The sequence below is a fragment of the Homo sapiens genome, chromosome X (genome assembly GCF_000001405.40).
Source record: "Homo sapiens chromosome X, GRCh38.p14 Primary Assembly".
NCBI classification, from domain to species: Eukaryota; Metazoa; Chordata; class Mammalia; order Primates; family Hominidae; genus Homo; species Homo sapiens.
Window position 1 is genome coordinate 9556343 of NC_000023.11, and position 23459 is coordinate 9579801.

General features: G+C 44.6%; 1 protein-coding gene across 4 annotated transcripts in view, besides 4 other annotated features; it reads left to right on the forward strand.

The window, feature by feature from the left end:
• TBL1X (transducin beta like 1 X-linked) overlaps positions 1 to 23459 on the forward strand; it is a 256446-nt gene that overhangs the window by 93048 nt on the left and 139939 nt on the right. The gene's annotated exons all lie outside the window — the stretch shown is intronic.
• Positions 3649 to 4150: an enhancer, noted in NCBI's record as "H3K27ac hESC enhancer chrX:9528031-9528532 (GRCh37/hg19 assembly coordinates)". NCBI's record gives its function as "activates a minimal SCP1, AML or CMV promoter by ChIP-STARR-seq in naive H9 embryonic stem cells {active_cell/tissue: H9 hESC(naive)}" and the evidence as "EXISTENCE:reporter gene assay evidence [ECO:0000049][PMID:30033119]".
• Positions 4151 to 4650: an enhancer, noted in NCBI's record as "H3K27ac hESC enhancer chrX:9528533-9529032 (GRCh37/hg19 assembly coordinates)". NCBI's record gives its function as "activates a minimal SCP1, AML or CMV promoter by ChIP-STARR-seq in naive H9 embryonic stem cells {active_cell/tissue: H9 hESC(naive)}" and the evidence as "EXISTENCE:reporter gene assay evidence [ECO:0000049][PMID:30033119]".
• Positions 11924 to 12755: an enhancer, noted in NCBI's record as "H3K27ac hESC enhancer chrX:9536306-9537137 (GRCh37/hg19 assembly coordinates)". NCBI's record gives its function as "activates a minimal SCP1, AML or CMV promoter by ChIP-STARR-seq in primed H9 embryonic stem cells {active_cell/tissue: H9 hESC(primed)}" and the evidence as "EXISTENCE:reporter gene assay evidence [ECO:0000049][PMID:30033119]".
• Positions 12756 to 13586: an enhancer, noted in NCBI's record as "H3K27ac hESC enhancer chrX:9537138-9537968 (GRCh37/hg19 assembly coordinates)". NCBI's record gives its function as "activates a minimal SCP1, AML or CMV promoter by ChIP-STARR-seq in naive and primed H9 embryonic stem cells {active_cell/tissue: H9 hESC(naive and primed)}" and the evidence as "EXISTENCE:reporter gene assay evidence [ECO:0000049][PMID:30033119]".

Here is a 23459-nt window from a genome sequence, read left to right on the forward strand (position 1 = left end):
AAACTACACACATTTACTATCTTAACAGTTCTGGGCTGGGTATGGTAGCTCATGCCTGTCATCTGAACACTTTGGGAGGCTGAGGTGCAAGAATTGCTTCAGCTCAGGAGTTCGAGACCAGCCTGGGCAACATGGCAAGACCCTGTCTCTCTCTAAAAAAAAAAAAGCCAGGCATGGTGGTCCACACCTGTAGTCCCAGCTACTTGGAGGCTGAGGTGGGAGGATCACTTGAGTCCAGGAGGTCAAGACTGCAGTGAGCCATGCGAGTGCTCCAGCCTGGATGACAGAACAAAATCTTGTCTCTATAAAAAGAAACTGGAAAAAAAAAAAAGTAGTTCTAGAGGTCATAAGTTCCAAATGGGTCTTATTCTGCTAAAATCGAGGCATCTACAGGGTGGTGGTATTTGCTGAAGGCTCGAGGGTTAAGTTTCTGGTTTTTTGTTTTGTTTTGTGTTTTTTGTTTTTGTTTTTGTTTTTTTTTTGCTTTCTCAGTTTCTAGAGGCTGCCCATATTCCTTAGCTCATGGCCCCTTCCTCCATCTTTAAAGCCAGCACTGCTTGTTCGAGTCTTTTTCACATTGCATTTCCCCTTTCACATTGAAAGCACTCTTCTGATGAACCACTTCTGTTAAAACCACTCTTATGATCCAAGATAATTTACTTTTTTAAAAGATGAACTGATTAGCAGCCTGAATTCCACCTGTAGCCTTCATTCCTCCCTGCCATGCAACTTAAGTTGTTCATGGTTTCTGGGAATCAGGATGTGGACACCTTGGGTGGGGATGGACCTTAACTCTGGCTGCCACCAATGGCGCCTGGTCAAAGTATCCTGTAGGATTTATTCTTGGAAACGGCGTTAACCCCAACGCCCTACTTTGCTGGCTGTGTAAGAAACACGAGGTCAGTCAGGCAGTAAGAGGAGCATGGACTTGTTTTCTGAAACAGCGACACAATCCATTACATATTTTCGAATGACGAGATGAGATCAGACTTCTGCTTTAGGAAGAGTCACAGGGTTTTGTGGATTTGCAGGGGAAACAGGCGGTCAGAGGGAGTTCTGTGTCACCGTCCAGAGGCTGGGGTGCCAAGGAGGGCAGTGGCAGTGGGCTTGAAGAGATGCAATGGGGCTGCTTTGGGGCTGAGGCGACTGGACTGGCGTCTGATTGATGGAATACCAGGAGAGGGATGGGAGAGGGAAAGAGATGAGTCCAGGATGACAGTTGGAAAGTCCTGGACTTCGGAGTAAAGGGTAGCGATTGAGGAGTTAAAGGGTAGAATCAGGCTGGGGAGAGCAAATTTACTTTTGAAATAGTGACCTTTGGATGCTGGACAGGGAGATATGAAGCAGGCAGAGGAAATATGGGCATGAAATAGAGCTTCAGCATTTTCTACAAAGAAGCCACCACATTCGGTGACATGACAAGGGAGTGATGCCAGAGGGAAGAGAGGTACAAGGGCAGAATGCTGGGGAAATGCCTGTGTTTAATGGGCGTGGAGAACCCGCTTAATAAATAATGAGAATATATTGCTGGACTGAAACAAAAGTCCTCATTAGCTCATTAAATGTTTCCTGGAATTCCCAGTCAAATCTGTGAAACAATTTTAATGCTAGATGTTTTGTAAGTATTTCTCCGGAAATCTGGAAATTTGTCCACAGACCCCCAGACATTGTTTATAAACTGAAGTCAGTTGACTCAAGTATTTTGCAAATGTCTATGGACCCTAGTGTGATTAATAGAAACACAAATTATTTTAAAGGTGTCACTCAATTTACAGTCATTCTGTATTTTTGCCATTTGGTATTTTTTCCTGAAACATTACATAATAAGAATGCAGCATGCTTTCTTTATGTAGGTGATCTGTGAAACTTTTTGACAATTAAAAATTGGTTTTTGGCCAGGCACAGTGGCTCACACCTGTAATCCCAGCACTTCGGGAGGCCGAGGAGGGCAGATCACCCAAGGTCAGGAGTTAGAGACTAGCCTGGCCAACATGGCGAAACCCTGCCTCTACTAAAAATACAAAATTAGCCGGGCGTAGTGGTGCACACCTGTAATCCCAGCTACTTGGGAAGGTGAGGCAGGAGAATTGCTTGAACCTGGGAGGTGCAGGCTGCAGTGAGCCGAGATCTTGCCGTTGCACTCCAGCCTGGGCAACAAGAGCGAAACTCCATCTCAAAAAAAAAAGGAAGGAAAAAAAAATATATATATATATGTATATAAAAATTGGTTTTTGCTGTTTGTTGCGGCATCACTTGCAGTTACAAAGAAGTGAACATAGTGGTTACAGATTGGGTTGTAAGGCTGGACCTGGCCGTATGATGGGTTACTAGGCACCTGTTAAAAATAGTACTGTGGAAGTGGTATATTTATTGGCATGTCCATGTGTTTACAATATATTACAATGGTGTTACTGTAATCCCCAGGAGACCAGCAGCCCAGCTGGGACTCTGAGAGCTCTAAGATACGTCCTTGGAGTAAACCAAGCTGCAAGGAGGTCTGTTCACTTCTGTATTGTTTATCCACTCATAAATTTGATTTACATAGCTGGACTTTGGTGTTGTACAGTTATCTCATAATGAGGGTTATTTTAAGAAGTGTCTCAAGGAAATGTGTCGTGTGTTTACTGAGGATAGCGTTGTATGTAGTCCACAATTTCCTCTTTCTGGGAGAAATTTTGCACATGTATCAGAAGTCTAGGAGCTGTGTTTCTGATATTTGCATCTTCTTTATTGTTTAGATACTGTGAATCCAGCATCTAACTATAGTTCCTTCTTTGAGGTCTAGGAAACTTGGAATTGGATTGACAATTCCCTTCCAAGTGATTTCAGGTTGTATCCGACTGCGAACTTTGGATACCGCCTTCCTGTCTCAGCTTCGTCTCCTTTGTCCTACCATGATCTTCTCTTGGCCCCAGTTTACCCAGTGAATTACTTTATTTTTGCTATTTTGTATGTGTTTTTGGAAGCCACCCCCAGTTTTTTCTCTTCTTTTCCTGGGTGGGGAGTTAGAAGTGTTGCAGTGGATGATGGTGCTGTGGCTTTTTGGAGGTTGGTTTGCAGTAGCTTTTGAGTTCTGGTGTGTTAGTGTCATCTTATTCTAATCTAGCTGCTTCCTGTTGAAGTACATCAAGACGAAGTATATTTCTAAATTTATTACGATGAATACTCTATCAAAAGCAGCTGGTGCTTAGGCCCTAGGTAGAGCTTTAAGATAAAGTTCTTTAATATCAATTTAGAAAAAGAAAGATTCATAATGATTAATGGAGCTCCTGCATCACTGAATTTTACTGGAATAAAAAAAATTAGTGGGCTTAAAGTTACATTGAATGTAGTGGAAATTCTTTTTCTTATCTCCATTACTGTTGGGGAACAATTTCATCTAAACCCCATTGAAAACTGGGCCTTATAGCCTTCAGTATACTTCATAACATTTGTTGGAAAGCAGGAAATGAAAACGAAGTATTTGAAGTAAAAGTTCTTAAATGTGTCCCAAGAAATGAGGATTACTGCAGAAAGAATGGATCAGTTATTTCTCGAATTATAAGAAGGAAATATCTGCAGCCTTTTTTGTCATCAGTGCAGCAGCCCCGGTTTTTCTGTTAATCATAGCTGGTAATAATGCCCTCCGGTTTATAGTTTTGATGAGCCGGGAGCTAGGCTGCGTGTTTTACATATAATATCTCTGTTCCATCAGCTGCATAACCTAGATATCCTTCACCCCATTTTTATGAGACTCATGGGTTCTTGTCTGGGACCATGCACCTAGTAACTGACAAGATTGCAAACTAGTTATGTCACCTGTGGAGTTCCACGACAAAGGCAATTCTAGGCGATGTTTATGTAGTGTTCCTTGCATGCCAGGGGGATTCTGTGCTCTTTCCATGTGTGAATGATAGCATCCACCTGCTAACTTTGTTGGGAGGGTTCAGTTATCCTCTCTGTACAGGTGAGAACAGGAGGTACTGAGGACATCTGGCCCAAGGATACTACCGCTGGCACGGGGTGGATGGTGATTCGCCCTCAGTCCCTCTGGCGCAGCATCTGTGCTGTTTGCTGCCAGGCCAGCTGCATCCCAGATAGAGTGACAGGATCTGTTCGCGTCACATCCAGAAAAGGCTCTGAGGCCAAGCTCCCTGCGTTGCTTCTCACTTTCACTCTGGAATCAGAGGTGCGTGCCTGGAGGACTTAGCTCTGCATGGACAGCTGGTAAGGTGTCACAGAGGGTGAGGTGGGCCATTGTAGCAGAGAGTTGTTAAGAGTTGGTTACGTGGGTTTTCTCACAGGGTACAAGGCTGAGGAATGGGAAACCAGTTAGGAGACCTTGCTAATAGCGTGGACCAAAGATGGGGAGTAGGTCCAGACAGATTCCGCAGTGTTCATGCAGTGTTCATGAAGCAGGTGTAGACAGATTGCGGGGCCATTCATGAAGGTGATTTGCCGGGGCTTTTTACGGATGGAAAACCCCTTTTCTGTGTTCATCCCACCTCCTGTTGTCGACAGATGACACCTGCACAATCAGGTCCTCCCAACTCCTTCCACCACCCAAAGTGAAATACGCAAGTCCCAGAGAACTGTGTCATTCTTACCGAAGTGGCTGATGTAGGATGTTAGAAACATCTCCCACCCCAAGTTGTGACAACCTGAAACATCCCCAGACATTGCTAACTGCCTCTTGGAGGGGGCACAGTCACCCGCTGTTGGGAACACAGGCCTAAAAGCTTGGAGCCAGGGCTGACTGTCTGTGTAGGCTAGAACAGAATTCCCAATGACCCATCACCATGACATCTGACACTCAAACCGCACCCCACCCCGACCCCCCACAACCACCACCTTTTAAAAATTTCCATTTTTGGAAAAGGCTGGGGCTTAGAAGTCATTATGAAGGCACCCATTTCCAGAAGGGTAAGAATCAGAAAGTTGGCTAATTCGGGTCTCTGCTTTACAGGAGTTCCGCAGCGTCTTTCAGTAGAGTGAAGCTCCAGTATTTGTATGAGTGTTGGGGTTGTTTGGTGGTGTGGGGTAATGCAGGAGGAGAGAATTGGGGAACTGTTAACCACCACCCAAACAGGCTATAGAGAAGAATGCCAGGGGACTTTACTGTGATGGAGACAGGAGCGTTGAAGTCTGAAGAGTGACATCTGGGTTCTCTGTACGTTCTGATTTCTTCTGCTAGGATGAGTATAGAAACATGTTCTCTGGGGTGAAAGTGAAGCCTTGTGAAATTCATACAGGTGAAGCTGCTGATAGCAGCTCTTCCCGATGGCATGAATATGGAGGTGGCGGTTGAAGCAAGTTTGGTTTGTGAATAGAAATATACGTGTTCATATGTATGTGTGCACGTATGTGTTTGTGCATGTGTATGCTTTAGGACCCAGTTCTTGGATTAGCTGATTATTTTTTTCCCTCTCTATAGACATTGGTGACCTAGGTTTTCAGATACTTATGTAAGTGAATAGTTGAATTTGTTTGAGCATATTTAATTGCTTTCCTGAAGGGATTTGCTGGCTGTTTTGTTAAATGAAATTGAAGACAGTACTGTTGACCTTTCCAGGTGAGGAGGGAGTCAGAAGTGTTTTGCAAATGATGGAAACTGAAACGTGAGTACCAGGACCATATGATGTTCAGAAACTTTTATCATAACTACAGTGAATAAATAAAGTGCTTGACAATTAGATTTAAAATTAAGCTTCATCCTCATTGCAAAATGTGGAGACAGTGCTTTGGGACATGAGGAAGAGATTAATTAGGATTCTTTTCTACCTCAAGATGCGCTATGTCATCTCTGAACAAAAAACTGATTGGTATTACGTGAGGATTATCTTCATAAAGTTCAGAGTTGTATCTACGGGGACAGATTTGAATTGCTGTTAATTGACAATTTGCTGAATTGGAAAGATCATATTACCTTAATACTTTAATGTATCATCTTTAAATGTGATTCTTTTTCTTTCTCTCACTAAAGATTAGTTTCATGCCACTAAATAAAATTTAATCTTTTGCTGTAATTTAAATAATAATAAGTGCTTACAAACATATTATGCAGCTGATAGCTTGTTAAAATTTCCTGTGGGCTTGTTTTTTGTTTAGAAGTACTGATTTTGCCAGTTGTACAAGCATGAAATATTGTTTATCAAGCCTCATAAGACATTAAAGAGGAAATCAAGTTTGTGTGACTTTAATGTCTCTTTTTCTCCTTATTTCAGTGGCTCATACTTTTACCCTGAACTTGTAAAATCTACAAGCTTAATAAGATTCCATATTTTATAGGAACTAATGGATATTCAATGACTTGCCTGAAGAGTAGACTAAGAAAATGTATTTCTCCATGAATCTTTACATAGAAAAATGAAAGATTTTTCCTGAATATTTATTTCTCAATATATACAGCATTAATATGTCTGTTTTTCTTCAAAGCAGAAAAAAAAAAAATCAGTGATTGCCTTTGGGTTTTGATCTTGCTCTGTATTTGTTTTAAGTACACACCTATTACATGCCCACTGTATTCTAGGCACTAAGCTCTAATGAAAAGTGGTTTCCAGTCATTCGAATGGAACAGGAGGCTCATGTACTTTGAAGTGGGTATACAGAACTTTTGCACTTTGGTTTTATTCTACTTTCTGTCTATGTCCTTGGCACTAGAATGCTTGGACGACAGTTTGCTATATCTGTGGTATTTATGGAATGAGTGAAACATGCAAGGAGAATGCCCTGGCTGCCGTTCTGGCTTCTGCCCTACCCAGAGCATCCAGTATACAGAAGCAGCGTTTCTTACCACAGCTTGCGGAAAGACACGGGGAGTAGTCGGCTTGCCATATAAGGAAGTTGCCTTCAGTGGCCTTGTTCATTTTAGGTGTTTTTTAATACTTGCTTCTCTTATAATACATGTTACTGTTCCGTGAGGAACCTCAGCAGCTCCCCTAAGGGGAAAAAAGGAGGAGTACTTGAAGGAGTACTGTTTATACTTCAGGGGCAATAAAATCCATGTTTATGCACAAAGGGACCTTTCCACTTGTGTGATAACCATTCTACAAGGCCCTTGAGTTCCTGTGAGGAAGGAAGGACGCCATAAGGAATGAAATCACAGAACCTTATTATGAAAATAGTAATGGTGGGATTTGGAAATTATACTCAATTTTTTCTTCTGAAAACAAATTGAATACCACCTGAGAGTTGGTGCTAAAGGCCCTGATTTTCGTATTTTAAAAAATTTTTGGCATAGTCTTTGGATTTGTGCTGTCCTAATATGGTAGCCACCAGCTGTACATGAGTATTTAAGCTTAACTAAGATTAAGTAAAATGTAAAATTCAGTTTGTCTCACACTAGCCACATTTTGAGTGCTCAGTAGCCACATGTGGCCAGTGGATACCTTATTAGACAAGGAAGATGTAGTGCAGAAAGTTTTATTGGACAGAAGAACAATGGTTATTCAGATATTTCCCTATTGGGAATTCCAGGGAAGAAAGGGAAAACTTAAATCTGAAGAAGAAAAATTTTATACCAAGGGACTAGGGGGCAATGCAGAAAAATTAACCACATCAAAACAATTTACTACATCAAAGTTCATTGTCATGACATATTAGAACATTAGCATAAAGGAAGTATCTATGCACTTCCCGGATTTAAAAAAGAGTCACACGAAGGATCTTGGAATCAGAATGACATTGTATTTCTTAACAGCAACACGTGAAGTTAGAAAACAGACTGAACATAGACTTCTTTGAAAATAATTTTCCCTCAGAATTTTGAAGGTGTTCCTCCACTAATTATTAATTAAGGATAGAATAAAGATGTTTGGGCCGGGCGTGGTGGCTCATGCCTGTAATCCCAGCACTTTGGGAGTCTAAGGCAGGTGGATCACTTGAGGTCAGGAGTTCAAGACCAGCCTGGCCAACACGGTGAAACCTCGTCTCTACTGAAAATACTTTCACATGTCACTTCTAGGAAACTTATGGAGAATATGTCCCACCAAAGTGAGGGAGTAAACCAAGAAAGGGGGAGGTTTGGGATCTTGGAAACAGAAAGAGGCAGAAGGAATTCTCAAACAAAGGTGTTTTCAGGGCAGTGGCTCTTGTAGTACAGACTAGAGCAGGAGACAAATTTTAGGAGGAGGCCAGGCGAGATGGCTCACTCCTGTAATCCCAGCACTTTGGGGGGGCCCAGGTGGACAGATCACAAGGTCAAGAGATTGAGACCATCCTGGCCAACATGGTGAAACCTCGTCTCTACTAAAAATACAAAAATTAGCTGGGCGTGGTGGCGCGTGCCTGTTGTCCCAGCTACTTGGGAGGCTGAGGCAGGAGAATCGCTTGAACCCAGGAGGTGGAGCTTGCCGTGAGCCAAGATCGCGCCACTGCACTCCAGCCTGGTGACAGAGCAAGACTCTGTCTCAAAAAAAAAAAAAGAAATTTTAGGAGAAAGTTTGGTGTTAGTGTATTGGTCGAAGGTGGGAGGGATGTGGGTGGGTGTTGCGGGAGGAAGGGCATGGAACTGACAAATTATCCAAGAGTTTTGATCATGTAAAAAATGTAATAGATTGTTGGAGAGTGTGGGAAGGATTATCAAAGAGTACAAAGAAAACTGAAATGAAAACAGAGGCAAATAATAATTCTAGGAGAACACAAAAAGTATACTAAAAAAAAATCATAGGCTGGGTGCGGTGGCTCACGCCTGTAATCCCAGCACTTTGGGAGGCCGAGGCGGGCGGGTCACGAGGTCAGGAGATCGAGACCATCCTGGCTAACACGGTGAAACCCCGTCTCTACTAAAAATACAAAAAAAATTAGCCGGGCGTGGTGTTGGGCACCTGTAGTCCCAGCTACTCGGGAGGCTGAAGCAGGAGAATGGCGTGAACCCGGGAGGTGGAGCTTGCAGTGAGCCAAGATGGCGCCACTGCACTCCAGCCTGGGTGGCAGAGCGAGACTCCGTCTCAAAAAAAAAAAAAAAAAAAAAATCATAATCATACTATATTGCCCACTCAGCAGTGCCCATTCCATTGTCAAAGTAATATATGTGAAATATTGATTTAGCTGAAAAAAAAAGTTATATGAGCTATCGAAAACGTGGAAGGGTCAGTGTAAGATTGGTGGTGGGAATGTAAAAAACCAACAATCCTTACCTATGTGTGTGAAAATCAGTAAGTGATATCTAAACTTGATGTATTGATTAGAGTATCACAAACAGACTATTTAGAAACATGGAAGTCTGGCCAGGCATGGTGGCTTATGCCTGTAATTACAACACTTCGGGAGGCCGAAGCGGGAACGTCACTAGAGCCCCGGTGTTTGAGACCAGCCTGGGCAGCATAGCGTGACCCTTTCTCTACCAAAAAATTTAAAGCATTAGCCAGGCATGGTGGTGTGCTCCTGTGGTCCCAGCCACTGGAGAGGCTGAGACAGGAGGATCACTTGAGTCCTGGAGGTCAAGGCTGCAGTGAGTCGTGATGGTGCCACTGCACTCCAGCCTGGGTGACAGTGAGACCCTGTCCCAAAAACAAAAAACAAAAACAACAACAAAAAAACAAACTTGGAAGTCACTATGCAGGGAACAGCACCAATAACAGAAACAGCTCCAAGAAAGTGGTTGCTTTGGGAAGTGGAATTGGTGATAGATGGTGCTAAAAGGCATGTAATTAATAAAAGGAGCCTTTTGCCTCACCTGCATTTTAAAAAAAATTTTGTACATGTATTACTTTGTAAAGACTAAAAGTGGTTTGGAAAGTGAAAGTATAGGATATACTATCTGTATAATTACAGACATTTTGGCATAGTTAAAAGCAGGGTTTCACAACCTTGGCATTGATTGACGTTTGTGTCAAATAATTCTCTTTGTTAAGAGGACCTGTCCTGTGTGTTGTGGGATGTTCCGCAGCATCTCTGGCCTCCACCCACTGGATGCCAGTGGCATTCCTCCGCCAGTCCTGACAAATAACAGTATCTCTAGACATTGCCCAATGTTTCCTGGGGGTCAAAATTACCTGTAAGAACCACTTGTTTTGAAGGATTTTTAAATATGTCATTGAATAAACCTCAATATATAACCCTGCTGTTTGATATTGGTAATACAGGAAACACCAGCTTCCTTACACAGACCTTGAACCCTGGAGCAAATGAAGCGGTTTGGAATCCTCTGGCACTGGAACACCCGCAATGCTCATGCTGGTGCATGTATTAGTCAGCGTCTGGCTCTTGGCCCGGTTAATTCAGAGCTCACTAAAAACAGAAAAGGGATCAGGAGGAAACTGCAGCTTCTCTGTCATGCTTAGTGGCTTCTGAAAACATATTTTAGATTTTTCATGTTGCTTTCATGATGGTACAACTTGAATTTCTCTGGAGTTGAAATGTTAATCATTATGGCAAAAATATTGCACCCTTTGGATGCATTCCAGTGCTCAGGTGGCTGCGGACAGATCCTCTCTGTCTCTCTGCTTCCCTCCACAATTCTTTTGCAAGTTCTTAGTTAAGTTATTGTCAAGTGTTTTTCCCTAGAATTGACACAGGAAGTCAACAGGAAAATGGTATCTCAGATTTTTTGATGTGGATGAAACCTCATAAATAGTTTAAAACCCTCATTTCACAGCTGAGGAAACTCTGGTGCAGAGAGGGTTTTTTACAATTAATTGGGAGCACAATGGGGCCTGGAACTCTGTTCTTCTGTTTTACTCTTTCCTTTTAAAATACAACATGTGTGCCCAGTAATGCTGGAGGAGGATGATAGAACGGGCTGGGGAAGGGCTAGGGCATCTGGCGGGTCATGGGAGTTTGTCAGGATTTTCGCACTGTTAGAAGTTCTCAGCATCCTCTGCCAGGGGCGTGTACCCTTAGTAAGCTTAGAGAAAATGGCACAGAGAGGCAGGAAGTGTAGTTTCCATGATCTTTCCAGGAGGTGCTCCTGTACCTCAGTTCCTGATGGCCCAGAACTGGGTGGAGAGTGTAGGCTGGTGCATTGGCGTGTCTGACAGGGAAGACCCTGGCCTCCTTATCTTGCAGCTCTTGCTACCAGGGCACTCATGGAGCCAGCGTGCACCGCCACTGCAGCTGTTCTTGAAGAAGTGGCCAGAAGAGTGAAATTGGCCCGTTGAGGAAGGGTGTGGAGCTGCTTCTCTGTGGGTCCCTGCATGACTTCCCTGTTCCTTCCCCTGGGATCAACCTTCCTCACCCCACATGGTTCAGCAGATGAGGGTTAAGTCTGCCCCAGCTTGGGGGACGCTGGTGTCCCACTCAAACCGGTTGTCCAGTATTTTGGTGCTGCACCAGGAGAGTGCCATCTGCAGTCTGCAGGGCTGTCTTGCCCAGGTGGCCCCTTCTTCCCTCGGATGGATGGGGCATACTGTTCTGACCACCATGTCTCCTTCCAGGCCACATCCTCTTTCGTGAGCACTGTGAGGGCATCACCCCACATTTTTAGAAACCTCAGCGCCCCATCTTGCCCCCATCCCTTGCCTTTGGCACCACTTAAACTACAGCCTCATTCTCTTCCTCCTCGCCTGAGTTCTCCAGCCAACTCAAGTGCCACCTCCTCCATGAAGCCCCTGTAGGTTTCCTCCACTGGGACAAGGACGCGCAGAGATGAAAGGCAGAGAAGTCCAGCCCTGGGACTTCCAGGCCGTCAGTTCAATCCTTTGAGCCTCTGTCTCCTCCTCTGTGCAGTGGGGCAGTTCAGTGCTCCCCCTTAGTGCTGTGGCACGCTGCGTTGATTGGCCTGGGTGCTGTTGCGGATGCCCAGCGAGTTCTCTGTCTCCCTCCTGGTTCTTGTCCCACTCCCTGCTCCCTGTTACAGCCTGGAAGTGGTTGGACGGTTTCCCCTGGGAGTCTTGAGAACCCCCAAAGACGCCATGCATCTTCTTGTCCTCTTTTCGTGGCATGTTCTGTGTTGTGTGTGTGTGTCTGTGCAACGTGCTGTGGCATTATGTGTGTCTGTGTTTGTGGCGTGTTGTGTTGCATGTGTCTGTCTGTACTGTGTGTGTTGTGTGTGTTGTGTGTCTCTGGCGGGCTGTGTATGTTGTGTGTGTCTGTGCACGTGCTGTGCGGCATGCTGTGTATGTTGTATATGTCTCTGGTGGGCTGTGTATGTTGTGTGTGGCTGTGTATTTTGTGTGTCTGTGTGGCTATATGCGGCGTGCTGTGCATGTCGTGTCTATCTGCACCGTGGTTTGTGTGTTGTGTCTATCTGCGTGGTGTACTGTGTGTGTTGTGTCTATCTGTGCAGTGTGTCTGTGTGGTGTGCTCTGTGTATGTTGTGTCTATCTGTGCAGTGTGCTGTGTGTGTGTGTGTGTGGTGTGCTGTATGTCTGTCTGTGCAAGGTGCTATGTGTATGTCGTGTCTGTGCAGTGTGCTGTGTGTGTGTCTGATGTGCTGTGTGTGTTGTGTCTATCTGCAGTGTGCTGTGTGTGTGTCTGTGTTGTGTGCTGTTTGTGTTGTCTCTATCTGTGCAGTGTGCTGTGTGTATGTCTGTCTGGTGTGCTCTCTGTATGTTGTGTCTATCTGTGCAGTGTGCTGTGCGTGGCTGTGTGGTGTGCTATGTGTGTTGTGTCCGTCTGTGCACCTTGCTGTGCATGTTGTCTATCTGTGCACCTTGCTGTTTGTGTTGTGTCTCTCTGCACGGTGCACTGTGTGTGTTGTGTCTATCTGTGCAGTGTGCTCTGTGCGGTGTGCTGTGTGTGTGTCTGTGCAGTGTGCTCTTTGTGTGTGTGTGGTGTGCTGTATGTGTGTGTCTATCTGTGCTGTGTGTGTCTGGTGTGCTGTGTGTGTGTCTCTGCAGTGTACTGTGTGTGTGTGGAGTGCTGTGTGCGTTGTGTCTATCTGCAGTGTGCTGTGTGTGTGGTATGCTATGTGTGTTGTGTCTATCTGTGCAGTGTACTGTGTGTGTGTGATGTGCTGTCTTTGTGGTGTCTGCAGTGTGCTGTGTGTGTGTGGTGTGCTGTGTGTGTGTCTATCTGTGCAGTATCTGTGCAATGTGTTGTGTGTGTGTGGTGTGCTGTGTGTGTTGTGTCTATCTGTGCAGTGTGCTGTGTGTGTGTGTGTGGTGTGCTGTGTGTGCACGTGTGTGGTGTGCTGTGTGTCTGTGTGGTGTACTGTGTGTGTGTCTATTTGTGTACCGTGCTGTGTGTGTGTTACATGTCCTGAGCTCACGCCTTCTGTTTTCACATTTGACTGTGATTACTGTCCTTTTTGAGATCTGAGTAACAGGGACAGGGCTGGGCCCGATGACTTAGGCCTGTAGTCCCAGCACTTGAGGATCATTTGAGCCCAGGAGTTGGAGGCTGCAGTGAGCTGTGATCGCGCCACTGCACTCCAGCCTAGGTGACAGAGTGAGACCCTGGCTCAAGAAACAAGACCAAACGAAACAGGAATGGGTGGCCAGTTCTGCCACTTCCTTTTTATTTGTGAAATCTAAGCACATACATAATCCAGGTAGTTGTCACGGAAAGGGGCCATAACTCAAGAGAAGTGGTGCCCTGGAGCCTAAAGGCTTTCCCATTAGGATAAATTAGAACTGGAAATTGTCATAAAGACAATGCAGGGTTTGTGGATTTCAGCTGGATGAGTAAAGACCAGCCTGGGCGTGAAGGATTTTCATAGTCAGTTGCTAAAGGTGGTGCCCCAGGAAGGCTATTTGGCAGGCGTGGGGCGCAGTCCTGGCATGGGGTGGGATGGGGCTGGAGGTGCTGCTAATCTATCTTATTAAAACCCAGGAAGTTTCACAGGCGCCTTCCAAACCACAGCTCGTTGATTTAAAGATGTGAATTCCACGTGTGTAAGCCAACAGAACAATTGCGTTTTGTGGTCTCTGGCTGATGAAAAGTCCCTGATGAAGTGCTGTTTGGTAAAACGATTCCTCTCCATTTTCCTCCCTTCCAATCTGTGGTTCACATTTATTCAACGTTCTTTTCTTTCAAACAGCATTTGTGTGTAGCCAACACACATGCATATGGAGTGCTGCGAAGTCTCTGTGCATTATCTGGAAACCTGCTTTCTCCAGAAAAGCTGACTATCCACTTCCCGTGCTCTCAAGCCCAAGAGACAGGAATGGGACGTGGGGAGCGCGTACCCTCTTCTCAACAAGCAGGTTGAAAATCCAGTGAATTTCTTTATGATGGAATTTGAATCACGTGGACATTCATTAGAATATTTGGGCAGGATTAAGCCCTTAAAACTGGCTCTAGATTATGGTTATAAAATGGCCTCAAAGGACCCTGAAACTAATGAAAGAATTCTTCCATTTCTGACATGCTTCACTCCCTCTGGCTCTGGCTCTTATCCCAAATCAAAGAATGTTGGTTTTTTTAGTGTTTCCTTTATAAACAAGGATGGTTTCCAGATTTTTTTTTTCTTTTTGTTTTTTTTTTTTTTTTTGAGATGGAGTCTTGCTCTGTCACCCAGGCTGGAGTGCAGTGGCGCCATCTCGGCTCACTGCAAGCTCTGCCTTCTGGGTTCACACCATTCTCCTGCCTCAGCCTCCCAAGTAGCTGGGACTACAGGCCCCCGCCACCATGCCCAGCTAATTTTTTGTAGTTTTAGTAGAGACGGGGTTTCACCATGTCAGCCAGGATGGTCTAGATCTCCTGACCTCGTGATCTGCCCGCCTCGGCCTCCCAAAGTGCTCGGATTACAGGCGTGAGCCACCGCGCCCGGCCCAAAGTGACTCTTATACTCCATTATAATTATGAATTTGGAAAACAATAAGGATATTATATGAGTCTGCTCAGGCTGCTGTAACCAAAGACCACAGGCTGTGTGGCTTAAACAATAGAAATTTCTTTTCTCACAATTCTGGAGGCTGGAAGTCCAAGATCAAGGTGCCAGGAAACTCAGTTTCTGGGGAGGCCTCTCCTCCTGGCTTGCAGATGGCCGCCTTCTTGCTGTGTCCTCACACGGCCTTTCCTCGGAGCGTCTGTGTATGGGTGGGGTGGAGGGGCAAGCAGAGAGCTTGCACACTTCGACAATATGACCATCTATCATAGGCATCAATTTAGTTTAACTTCATTTCATTTACAGGGTGTTAAAAAGGAAAATCATCTGCATAATTTGAGCTTTTTCATAGTGAGTTCTGAATCTAATTTATTTTGAGTTATTACAGAAGTCTGCGGATATCCCACCTTAAGATAGCCATATGCACAATTAGTCATTTCTTAAGGGATCCCCCAATGTGAAAAGAATTCCCCGAGAAAAGACGACCTGAAAGATCTTGGCCTTTACATAAGTGTACACAGAATTATTTTTATTGTGATAAAATATACATAACATAAAACTTACTATCTTACACAGTTTAACTGTACAGTTTAGTGGCATTAAGTACACTCACGTTACTGTGCAGGCATCATCACCATCCTTCTCTAGGACTTTCCCAGCTTTCCAAGCTGAAACTCTGTCCTCATTAAACATGAGCTTTCCATTCCTTCTCTCCCCACCAACCACCTGGCACCCACTGTTCTACTTTCTGTCTCTGTGAACTTGATGACTCTGGATACCTCCCGTAAGTGGAATCCTACAGGATTTGTCCCTTTTGTAACTGGCTTATTTCACTTGGTAGAATGTCCTCAAGATTCATCTGTATTGTAGCATGTGACATAATTTCCTTCCTTTTTAAAGCTGAATAATATTCCCTTGTGTGTATAGACCACATTTTGTTTATCCATTCATGCATCGATGGACAGTTGGGTTGTTTACAAGGAATTATTTTAAAGCCGAATCCAGGGTGGCTGGCTTGTGACTACTATTTAGATGCAGACAGTGATTCCAGGTGGTGCGTGGTGAAATCATGTCACACCCCCGCGGAAAACTCCACAGCTTTCCTCATGTGCCCTTTCCATCACTTCTCTGCTGCTTTAGGAACTACTTTTCTTCTGAGGTGACCTCTTTCTGTTCCTTTCAGTTTTTAAAGGAAAGAATAGTAGAAGTATTAAAAGCAGCAGCAGAAGTCCACATGTTAACCCTGTGCCAGCCCACATCCCCTTGTGATCTCTGGCAGTGGGGTCTCTTCTGCTAGCTTCTCCCGAGCTTCCTGCCAAAACCCTGTAGCCGGCCTTCGCCATGTCCCTGAATTTGCTTTTCTTTTTCCACCCTCTACAACCTTCCTTTCCTGCAGAAGTATAAACTTTCAATCCGTGTGTATAAACTTTGGGGACACTTCGCAATCAGCATGATGAAGTTTTATTTTTATGTGAAAACTCTTGATGATTCTGAAATTGTGGTGTCTGTAACTTAAACATCATCTACAAAATCACTGCTCTATCTTTGGATGTGAGTTTGTTCTAGCATGTTATCACAGTACCGAATTCCAAAGAAACTGCTGTTTACTTACCAAGGGTAGGCTTTCAACTCAGATGAGTTTATGACTTTATTTACATGGAATAGTCAAAATGGACTTCTGACATTTGCTGCAAAGTAGGACAACTTAATTGATATTGATGGATCTACTCATTTATTCAGCAGATAACAAAGCCCTTCCGATTGCAGGTGTTGTGGAGAGAGCAGGATATTCATTTGCTAGGGTTGCCATAACAAAGTTTGATTTGATTTTTGGTTGGGGATGGAAACTGTGTAGGAGGCAAGCGTGGAGCTTGATGTGAGCTCCTTGAAATAATGAAAAACCAGTTACAAAATCTGTATTACCTGTAGCAGTACACATTCTCCCAAAGCATTCTGTTGGCATTTTAAAGTCCTTTAAAACACACAGCTGCTTTCTGTTGCTTCAAACTAAATAAGGCATTATCTTCACTTTTCCTTTTGTTAACCTAAAGAAAAACCTTCATTTGTAAAGCAAATCATCACAGCAGGAGGATTTTCTGGTTTATGCACTAGGGTGCATTTAATCTTTATTTTACACTGCTGATTAACTTTATGATTCAAATTTTAACTTATAGTTTCTTTTTAAATTAATTACATTATTGGGTGCTTTCATGTTTTTGCTAAAAGCCTTCCTATTAGAAGCACTACAATTGACAGTGATGGACTGACCTTTAATATTTTTTTGTTATGTGACCAGTGTTTGGTTTATAAAAATTTTTCTCTAAAACACCAACTTTTGGCTGCAAATACCACCTTTTCACTTGGGTTCTTTTCATAGTGTTTATTTACATGGGATATTGTCACTTTGCACGCTGTAGCTATTTGTCTTTGTCAGCAAATGTAGGTAAAATATTAATCTTGTATGAAATTCAGATAAGCAGGGAACAGATGGATTTATGGTGCTTGAAACCTCTGAACTCTGCAGCTGTGGCAAGTTGTTGAACTGTAAATAAATTCTGGACGGTGGCTAGCAGGGGCTGGCGTGACCTCATTTGCCCCACAATACCTCACCGTGCCAGGGATGCATTTCCTGCCCTGTGCCACCTGTGGTTTGGTCCTAGTGCTTTGGGGCCGCAGAGTGGAGCTGGGCTCCCTTTGAGGAAGTCATCAGTGCTGAGAGCCCTCCTCACGGGTGAGAGTCCAGTGGGATGTGTCTGAGCAGCCTACGCTGGGCATGGGCCGGGGCACGCTGTGTCCCAAGCATGCTTTAGGGGTCCCAGTGGCAAAAGCACATTTGTGGTTGTTTAATCTCTGGAGGTGGAGGATAGCCCCAGCTCCTGGGTCAGTCAGCTGGCGGAACAGGGTAGGCCAGGGGAGACAGCACTCCACCCTGCTGGGCATCTTATTAAATGCAGCCCAGTATATTCAATGCCGGCATCACTACTTCATGGGAAAGGATGCAGCGCTTACAGCAGGTAGTGGGGTAGAGTGGCTGTGTGGGGATTTTCAAAATGGAGGCTAAAGTGATGCACTTTGGACTCGCTGGAAAGTGCCTGGACCTCTGGTGAGTTCAGCCTGGGAGGTCAGAGCACCACAAAATTTGCTTGCTGTGGCTGGGTGCAGTGGCTCACATCTGTAGTCCTAGCAGGAGCTCAGTAGTCCAAGCTCAGGAGTCCGAGACCAGCCTGGGCAACATCCTGTCTCCACCAAAACAAAACCAAAAACAAAACCAAACTGGCTTGGTGTGGTAGTGTGTGCCTGTAGTCCCAGCTACTCAGGAGGCTGAGGCAGGAGGATTGCTTGAGCCTAAGAGTTCGAGGCTACAAGTGAGCCATGATCATACCACTGCACTTGAGCCTGGGTGACAGAGTGAGACCCTGTCTCAAATGAAAAAAAAAAAAAAAAAAAAAAAAAGTACTTGTTGCCTGGCCACAGGAAGGTCTGTGTGTTGGTTTGTTTACCTTCCCGAACCTTTGCTGGGGAGACTTTTTATGCCCCCATATGCCCCAGATTCACTAACAAGAAGGAAGTGTTCTGTTCTGTGTAGGATGTGCAGAAACAGCCTTGAAAATGTTACCAATCACCGACCTTCTGAAACGAGCTTCTGTGGATACTGGGAAAGCACTGGGACACCATTCCCCTCACTCCTGCCTCTGCTTCCCCAGGGTGGAACTGGCCTGTGCTTGATGGTGCCAGCTGTCATAAAGAAGTCATTGAGCATCCCTGCATTTGCACTGTGTACCCAGCACCATGGAGGGATAGCCACTTTAGCCAAAGCAGTTTTTCAGCTTTACTGAGATGTAATTTACATACCTTCAGACTCCCTCCGAGGGTGTTTTTTTGTGTATTCGCAGAGTTGTGCAATCATCACTATCTGAGTTTAGAACATGTTCAGTACCCCATGCCCACTGTATTAGTCTGTTTTCACGCTGCTATAAGGAACTACCTGAGACTGGGTAATTTATAAAGAAAAGAGGTTGAATTGACTCCCAGTTCTGCATGGCTGGGGAGGCCTCAGGAAACTTGCAGTCATGGCAGAAGGCGAAGAGGAGGCAAGACACATCTTACCACAGCAAGGCAGGAGAGAGAGTGAGAGGGGAAGCGCCATACTTCTAAACCATTAGATCTCGTGAGAACTCACTCGCCATCACAAGAACAGCATGGGGGAAACCCGCCCCCATGACCCAATCACCTCCACCAGGTCCCTCCCCTGACGTGTGGGGATTACAGTTCGACATGAGATTTGGGTGGGGATTCAGAGCCAAACCATATCACCCATCAGCAGTCACTTCCCATTCTTCCCTCCCTGTCCCAACCGGTGCAACCAGCAATTTACTTTCTGCCCCTATGCATTTCCCTATTCTGACATTTCAGGTAAATACTCACAACATAGGGACTTTTGTGTTCTCATTTCACTGAGCATTGTGTTTTCAGGGTTCACTCATGTTGTCCCCTGTGTCGGTGCTTCGTTCCTTTTCATAGCCAGATTATACTATCTGTTCATCAGTTGGCGGGCGTTTGGGCTGCCTCCACTGTTTGGCGATTGTGAATAGTGTTGTTGTGAACATTTAAGCACACGTTTTTGTGTGGATGTATGCAAAGTCATTTTTTTTGAAAGCCACTTACTACACGATTGGCTAACTTCCATCAGAGAAATGTTGTTTGGTGGAGTTAAAAACAGATTATCTGTGTACTATATTAAGTTGGGTGAGGAATGATGAAGTGTAAATTATACTTACATAAATATTATAATGCTGTGCAGAAACTCTTAAGCTATCATTCTTTTAGAAAATGAATTTTATGAGCTTGGGACCTTTTTGTTAACCAATCTGAGAAAAGTCTGTTGTCAGTGTGGACATATTTTACCTTTAAATGGAGGAGGGGAGAGAATCTTTCAAAAACATTAATATCAGTGAGATTAATACTAATCTGTCAAGATGACCCAGTGAACAGTTGGCTATCAAAGTATTATAAGAAGGTTTTTAAAAGGAAAGTGTCTATTTTGTAAAGATCTTGAGTAAATTATGCTTTTAAGTATGTTTTGATATTCCCCCCCCTCCTCCCAAAGTGTAGCATGCCTGAGCGCTGTCATGTTTAGGAGGTGATGGGTTGGGGTTAGAGGGTGATTGACTGTTAGCGAAGTGGGTTGGGATGAACAAGTGCACTTGAGTACGCGCTGCACAGTGTAGGCATCAGGCCACGTCAGTGTGTCTCTGCATTTGGGCAGATGCCAGGCCTATTGCAGGCAGCATAACATCTAGGAACGGGTTTATGGATGAACCTGGGTAACTCTGGGAGCACAAACCCAGACCACACCCATCGGGAGAGATTGACCTGAGTGATGCGCTAACGCATATCATTGAGATGGGGCCAGATATCTTGCTTAGATGAATAATTGGAGTTCATGTCAACCATCTGTCCTTTCCCATAATTTAAAGCCAACTTCTATATTTTCCAGGTTCATACTTTTTTTTTCATTAATTGCATGTAAAGTTGCGGTGAACACCTTCTTTCTTGACTTCCTGTTTAAAAAAATTACAGTTCTTAAAATTATAAGCTTATTCAGGATGGAGTGGTCAGTTTGTAGAAAAACTAGCTCTTTAGATCTTTTAAAAGCACTACATTAAAAAAAAAAAAAAAAAAAAACATCGGACGTGGTGGGTCACACCTGTAATCCCAGCACTTTGGGAGTCCAAGGTGGGAGGATCGCTTGAGCCCAGGAGTTTGAGACCAGCCTGGGCAACATGGTGAGGCCCCATTTCTACATAAAATTTTAAAAATTAGCCGGGAGTGGTGGAGTGCACCTGTAGTCTTAGCTACTTGGGAGGCTGAGGTGGGAGGGTTGCTTGAGCCTGGGAGTTCAAGGTTGCAGTAAGCCGTAATTGCACCATTGCACTCCATCCTGGATGACAGAGCGAGACTCTGCCTCAAAAAACAAACAAACAAAAACAAACCCAGAGAAACTCAAAAACCAAAAAAGAGGTATCCTTATTTTCCCAGGCCTCAATGATGAAATGTGCCCAGTGTTCATTTGAATCTGCCCATCAATTAGTCTTTTCCTGATGTCTCAGAGAAGCATGCATGATGTACGGAATGTCTTGGGTGACCTAGAGCGGCATCCCCAATAGGACTGCCCTGTGAACATGGCCCCACATTCGGCTCTTGGGCACTTAAAAGATGTGGCCATTGTGACTGAGAAACTGAATTGTGAATGTTATTTAATTTTCACGTGTTTAAGATGTGGCCAGAGCAGACAGATGAACAGTCTGGCTTGATGGATAACTGCAGGGAGTTTCACGATGCTGGTAGGAGGCACAGTGAGCTTCTGGAAGAGCCGGCCCCACCTAGGCCTGATTTTGGTGGCTGCTCAAAACCGCTGGTACTGAATTCCTTTAGAATAGTGCTTCTCAAAGCGGGTGACTTTGTATCCTCCCCACCCTCCAGGGGCCATCTCACAATGTCTGGAGACATTTTTGGTGGTGACAGTGGGTGCTTCTGGCATCTGGTGAGTAGAGGCCAGGGACACTGCTCAACATCCCACAGTGCACAGGACGGCCTCATAACAAGGAATCATCTAGCCCCATATGCGCCACGATGGAGGAGCCCTGCTTTCTATTCCGAAGACCAGCAGTCCTAAGATACGATGTGGACAGCACAGACCCAGTTTTCTAAGTGAAGAGATAAGGCTTGAGCAGGCAGCAGCCTGGTAATGCCAAGGCCAGGACAGTTAGCCAAGTGTCTGAGTCCATGGAGCTTCTCGGGCAGTGTTCTCTTTTCTCTTCAGCTATTCCAGTTTGTATTAAGTGTAAGAATATGAAGTTGATGTTTGTCGTGAGTCAAGACGGTGACACAGAAGCAGTCTTTCGTGCTTTGGTCTAATAGCTTTATTGTTAAAGGAGAGAAACAGAAAACTCCTCTTTGCCTCTGCAGTTTTCTCTGAAATTGAATTTAGGGAAAGCTGACCCTAGACCATGCGTGCCCTTTCCACCAGCATCGCTGTGGGTTCCACTCGTGGGAGATCGATAAGGAAGTGGGGATGACCACGCTGCACAGAAGTGTTCTCATCACTTTTGCGCTTGCTTATTTAACCCATGATTGTTAGAAAGCGTTTAGAAAGTTGGTCTTTGCAAACCAGCCCTGTTAAGTGCTGAGATGAAATTCTTAACTTTTTTTTTCCTTCTTAGAGATAAGGCCTCACTCTGTCTCCCACGCTGGAGTGCAGTGGCGCAATCAAAGCTGACTGCAGCCTCCACCTCCTGGACTCAAGCAGTCCCCCCACCTCAGCCTCCCAAATTCTTAAAAATGCTAACAGTAACCCTCACACACAAAAAGTGCTGCCGTTAGAGATGGCACTGGTATTGAGAAGCACGTGCTGTCAGTGTTGCAATTGGTAATGCACACCACACTTGGGCATAGAAATTGGAAATCCAACTGCGCCAAGCTGGAGCCTGCAGAAAGGAGCACGAGGAGACGGGACAGCAATAGAGCTCTGTCGACGGCGCTAAGTAGAACCAGACGCTGCAATAAGACAAGCGTCCCCCTGTGCTCAGTACAAATGGGTTGCCTGTGGCAGATGCAGGGGTGGCTTTGGCAGAGAGACGGCTCCTGGCATCGTGGAATTGAATTGGCTGTTTCTTTTAAAGATACTGCAAATTGCGGCAGCATTTATCATCCTAAGGAAGCCCGCACAGCTTGCCAAACAGATAATATTGATGATGATAACAACAATGATAAAAGGAAACCATGATGCCTCTACTCAATGAAAATCACTTTTATCTTATTTGCAAAAGTCAGAGGTAGGACAGATGTGTCAGCGTCTTAATAAGACAGTTATTCAAGGAGTTAAATTGAAATTATTCACATACCCAAAATAAGCTATTTGGCAAACCTGGAGACCCAGGGGCCTTTGGATCTATCTTAGTGTAAAATTTCTTGAAGCAGAGACCTAGTAGGTACTCTGTTGCTTATGGTTCCAGGCAATGTATTGTTTTTTCTTCCCCCTAAATATCTGTGAATGTGTGAAGTACCCTGTGTGCCAGAGATGGAAAGTAAAACCACAGAAGCGGGGTGCGGGGAGATGGCAGCTAAATTCCTTTTCAGCAGAGTTGAAGCATCTTGTTGTAAGAGTCTAGCTCCACAACAGTGGGATGCAGGAAACTGTAACAGCTGAAATACCCAACAGATGTATTCACCATCAGTGCATTGGGAAACCCTCTCAAAAGTGTCATCACAAATGATGATCTTAACTTTTGTATGACAGGATCTTTAGGTCACCCAACAGTAGGTGCACAGTTTCTATGATTTCAATTTTTACCACTTCTGGAGACTTGTCTTCCCATTTCTTGTATCAGTGCCTTACTGATAGAGTTGGAAATTGGAACCAAAGTAATTAGATTGGCTCTCCAGATCTCTTACATGAGCCAAGAAAGGATTCAAAAGCATGCCCTGTTTCCTTCTTGACAGGCTGGGAGAGGAAGTGACCGGGAAGTGAATTGCTAAGATGTGGTCGTCATTTTCCTTTACACCACAGAGCCTCTGCGTTTGGGAACTGCAGGTTCATCCGAGTCAATGTCAGAAGTGCCTTGTGTCTACTGTAGTGAACATCCTTTGTTTCCATCGGGTCCTGTGGGAAGCAGCACTGCTTATTGGGTGGTTTGAGGGTGAATGCTATTTTACAACTTGTGACCCCCTTGACACACTACCTTTTCATTTTAGCATGGAGCACAGAGCC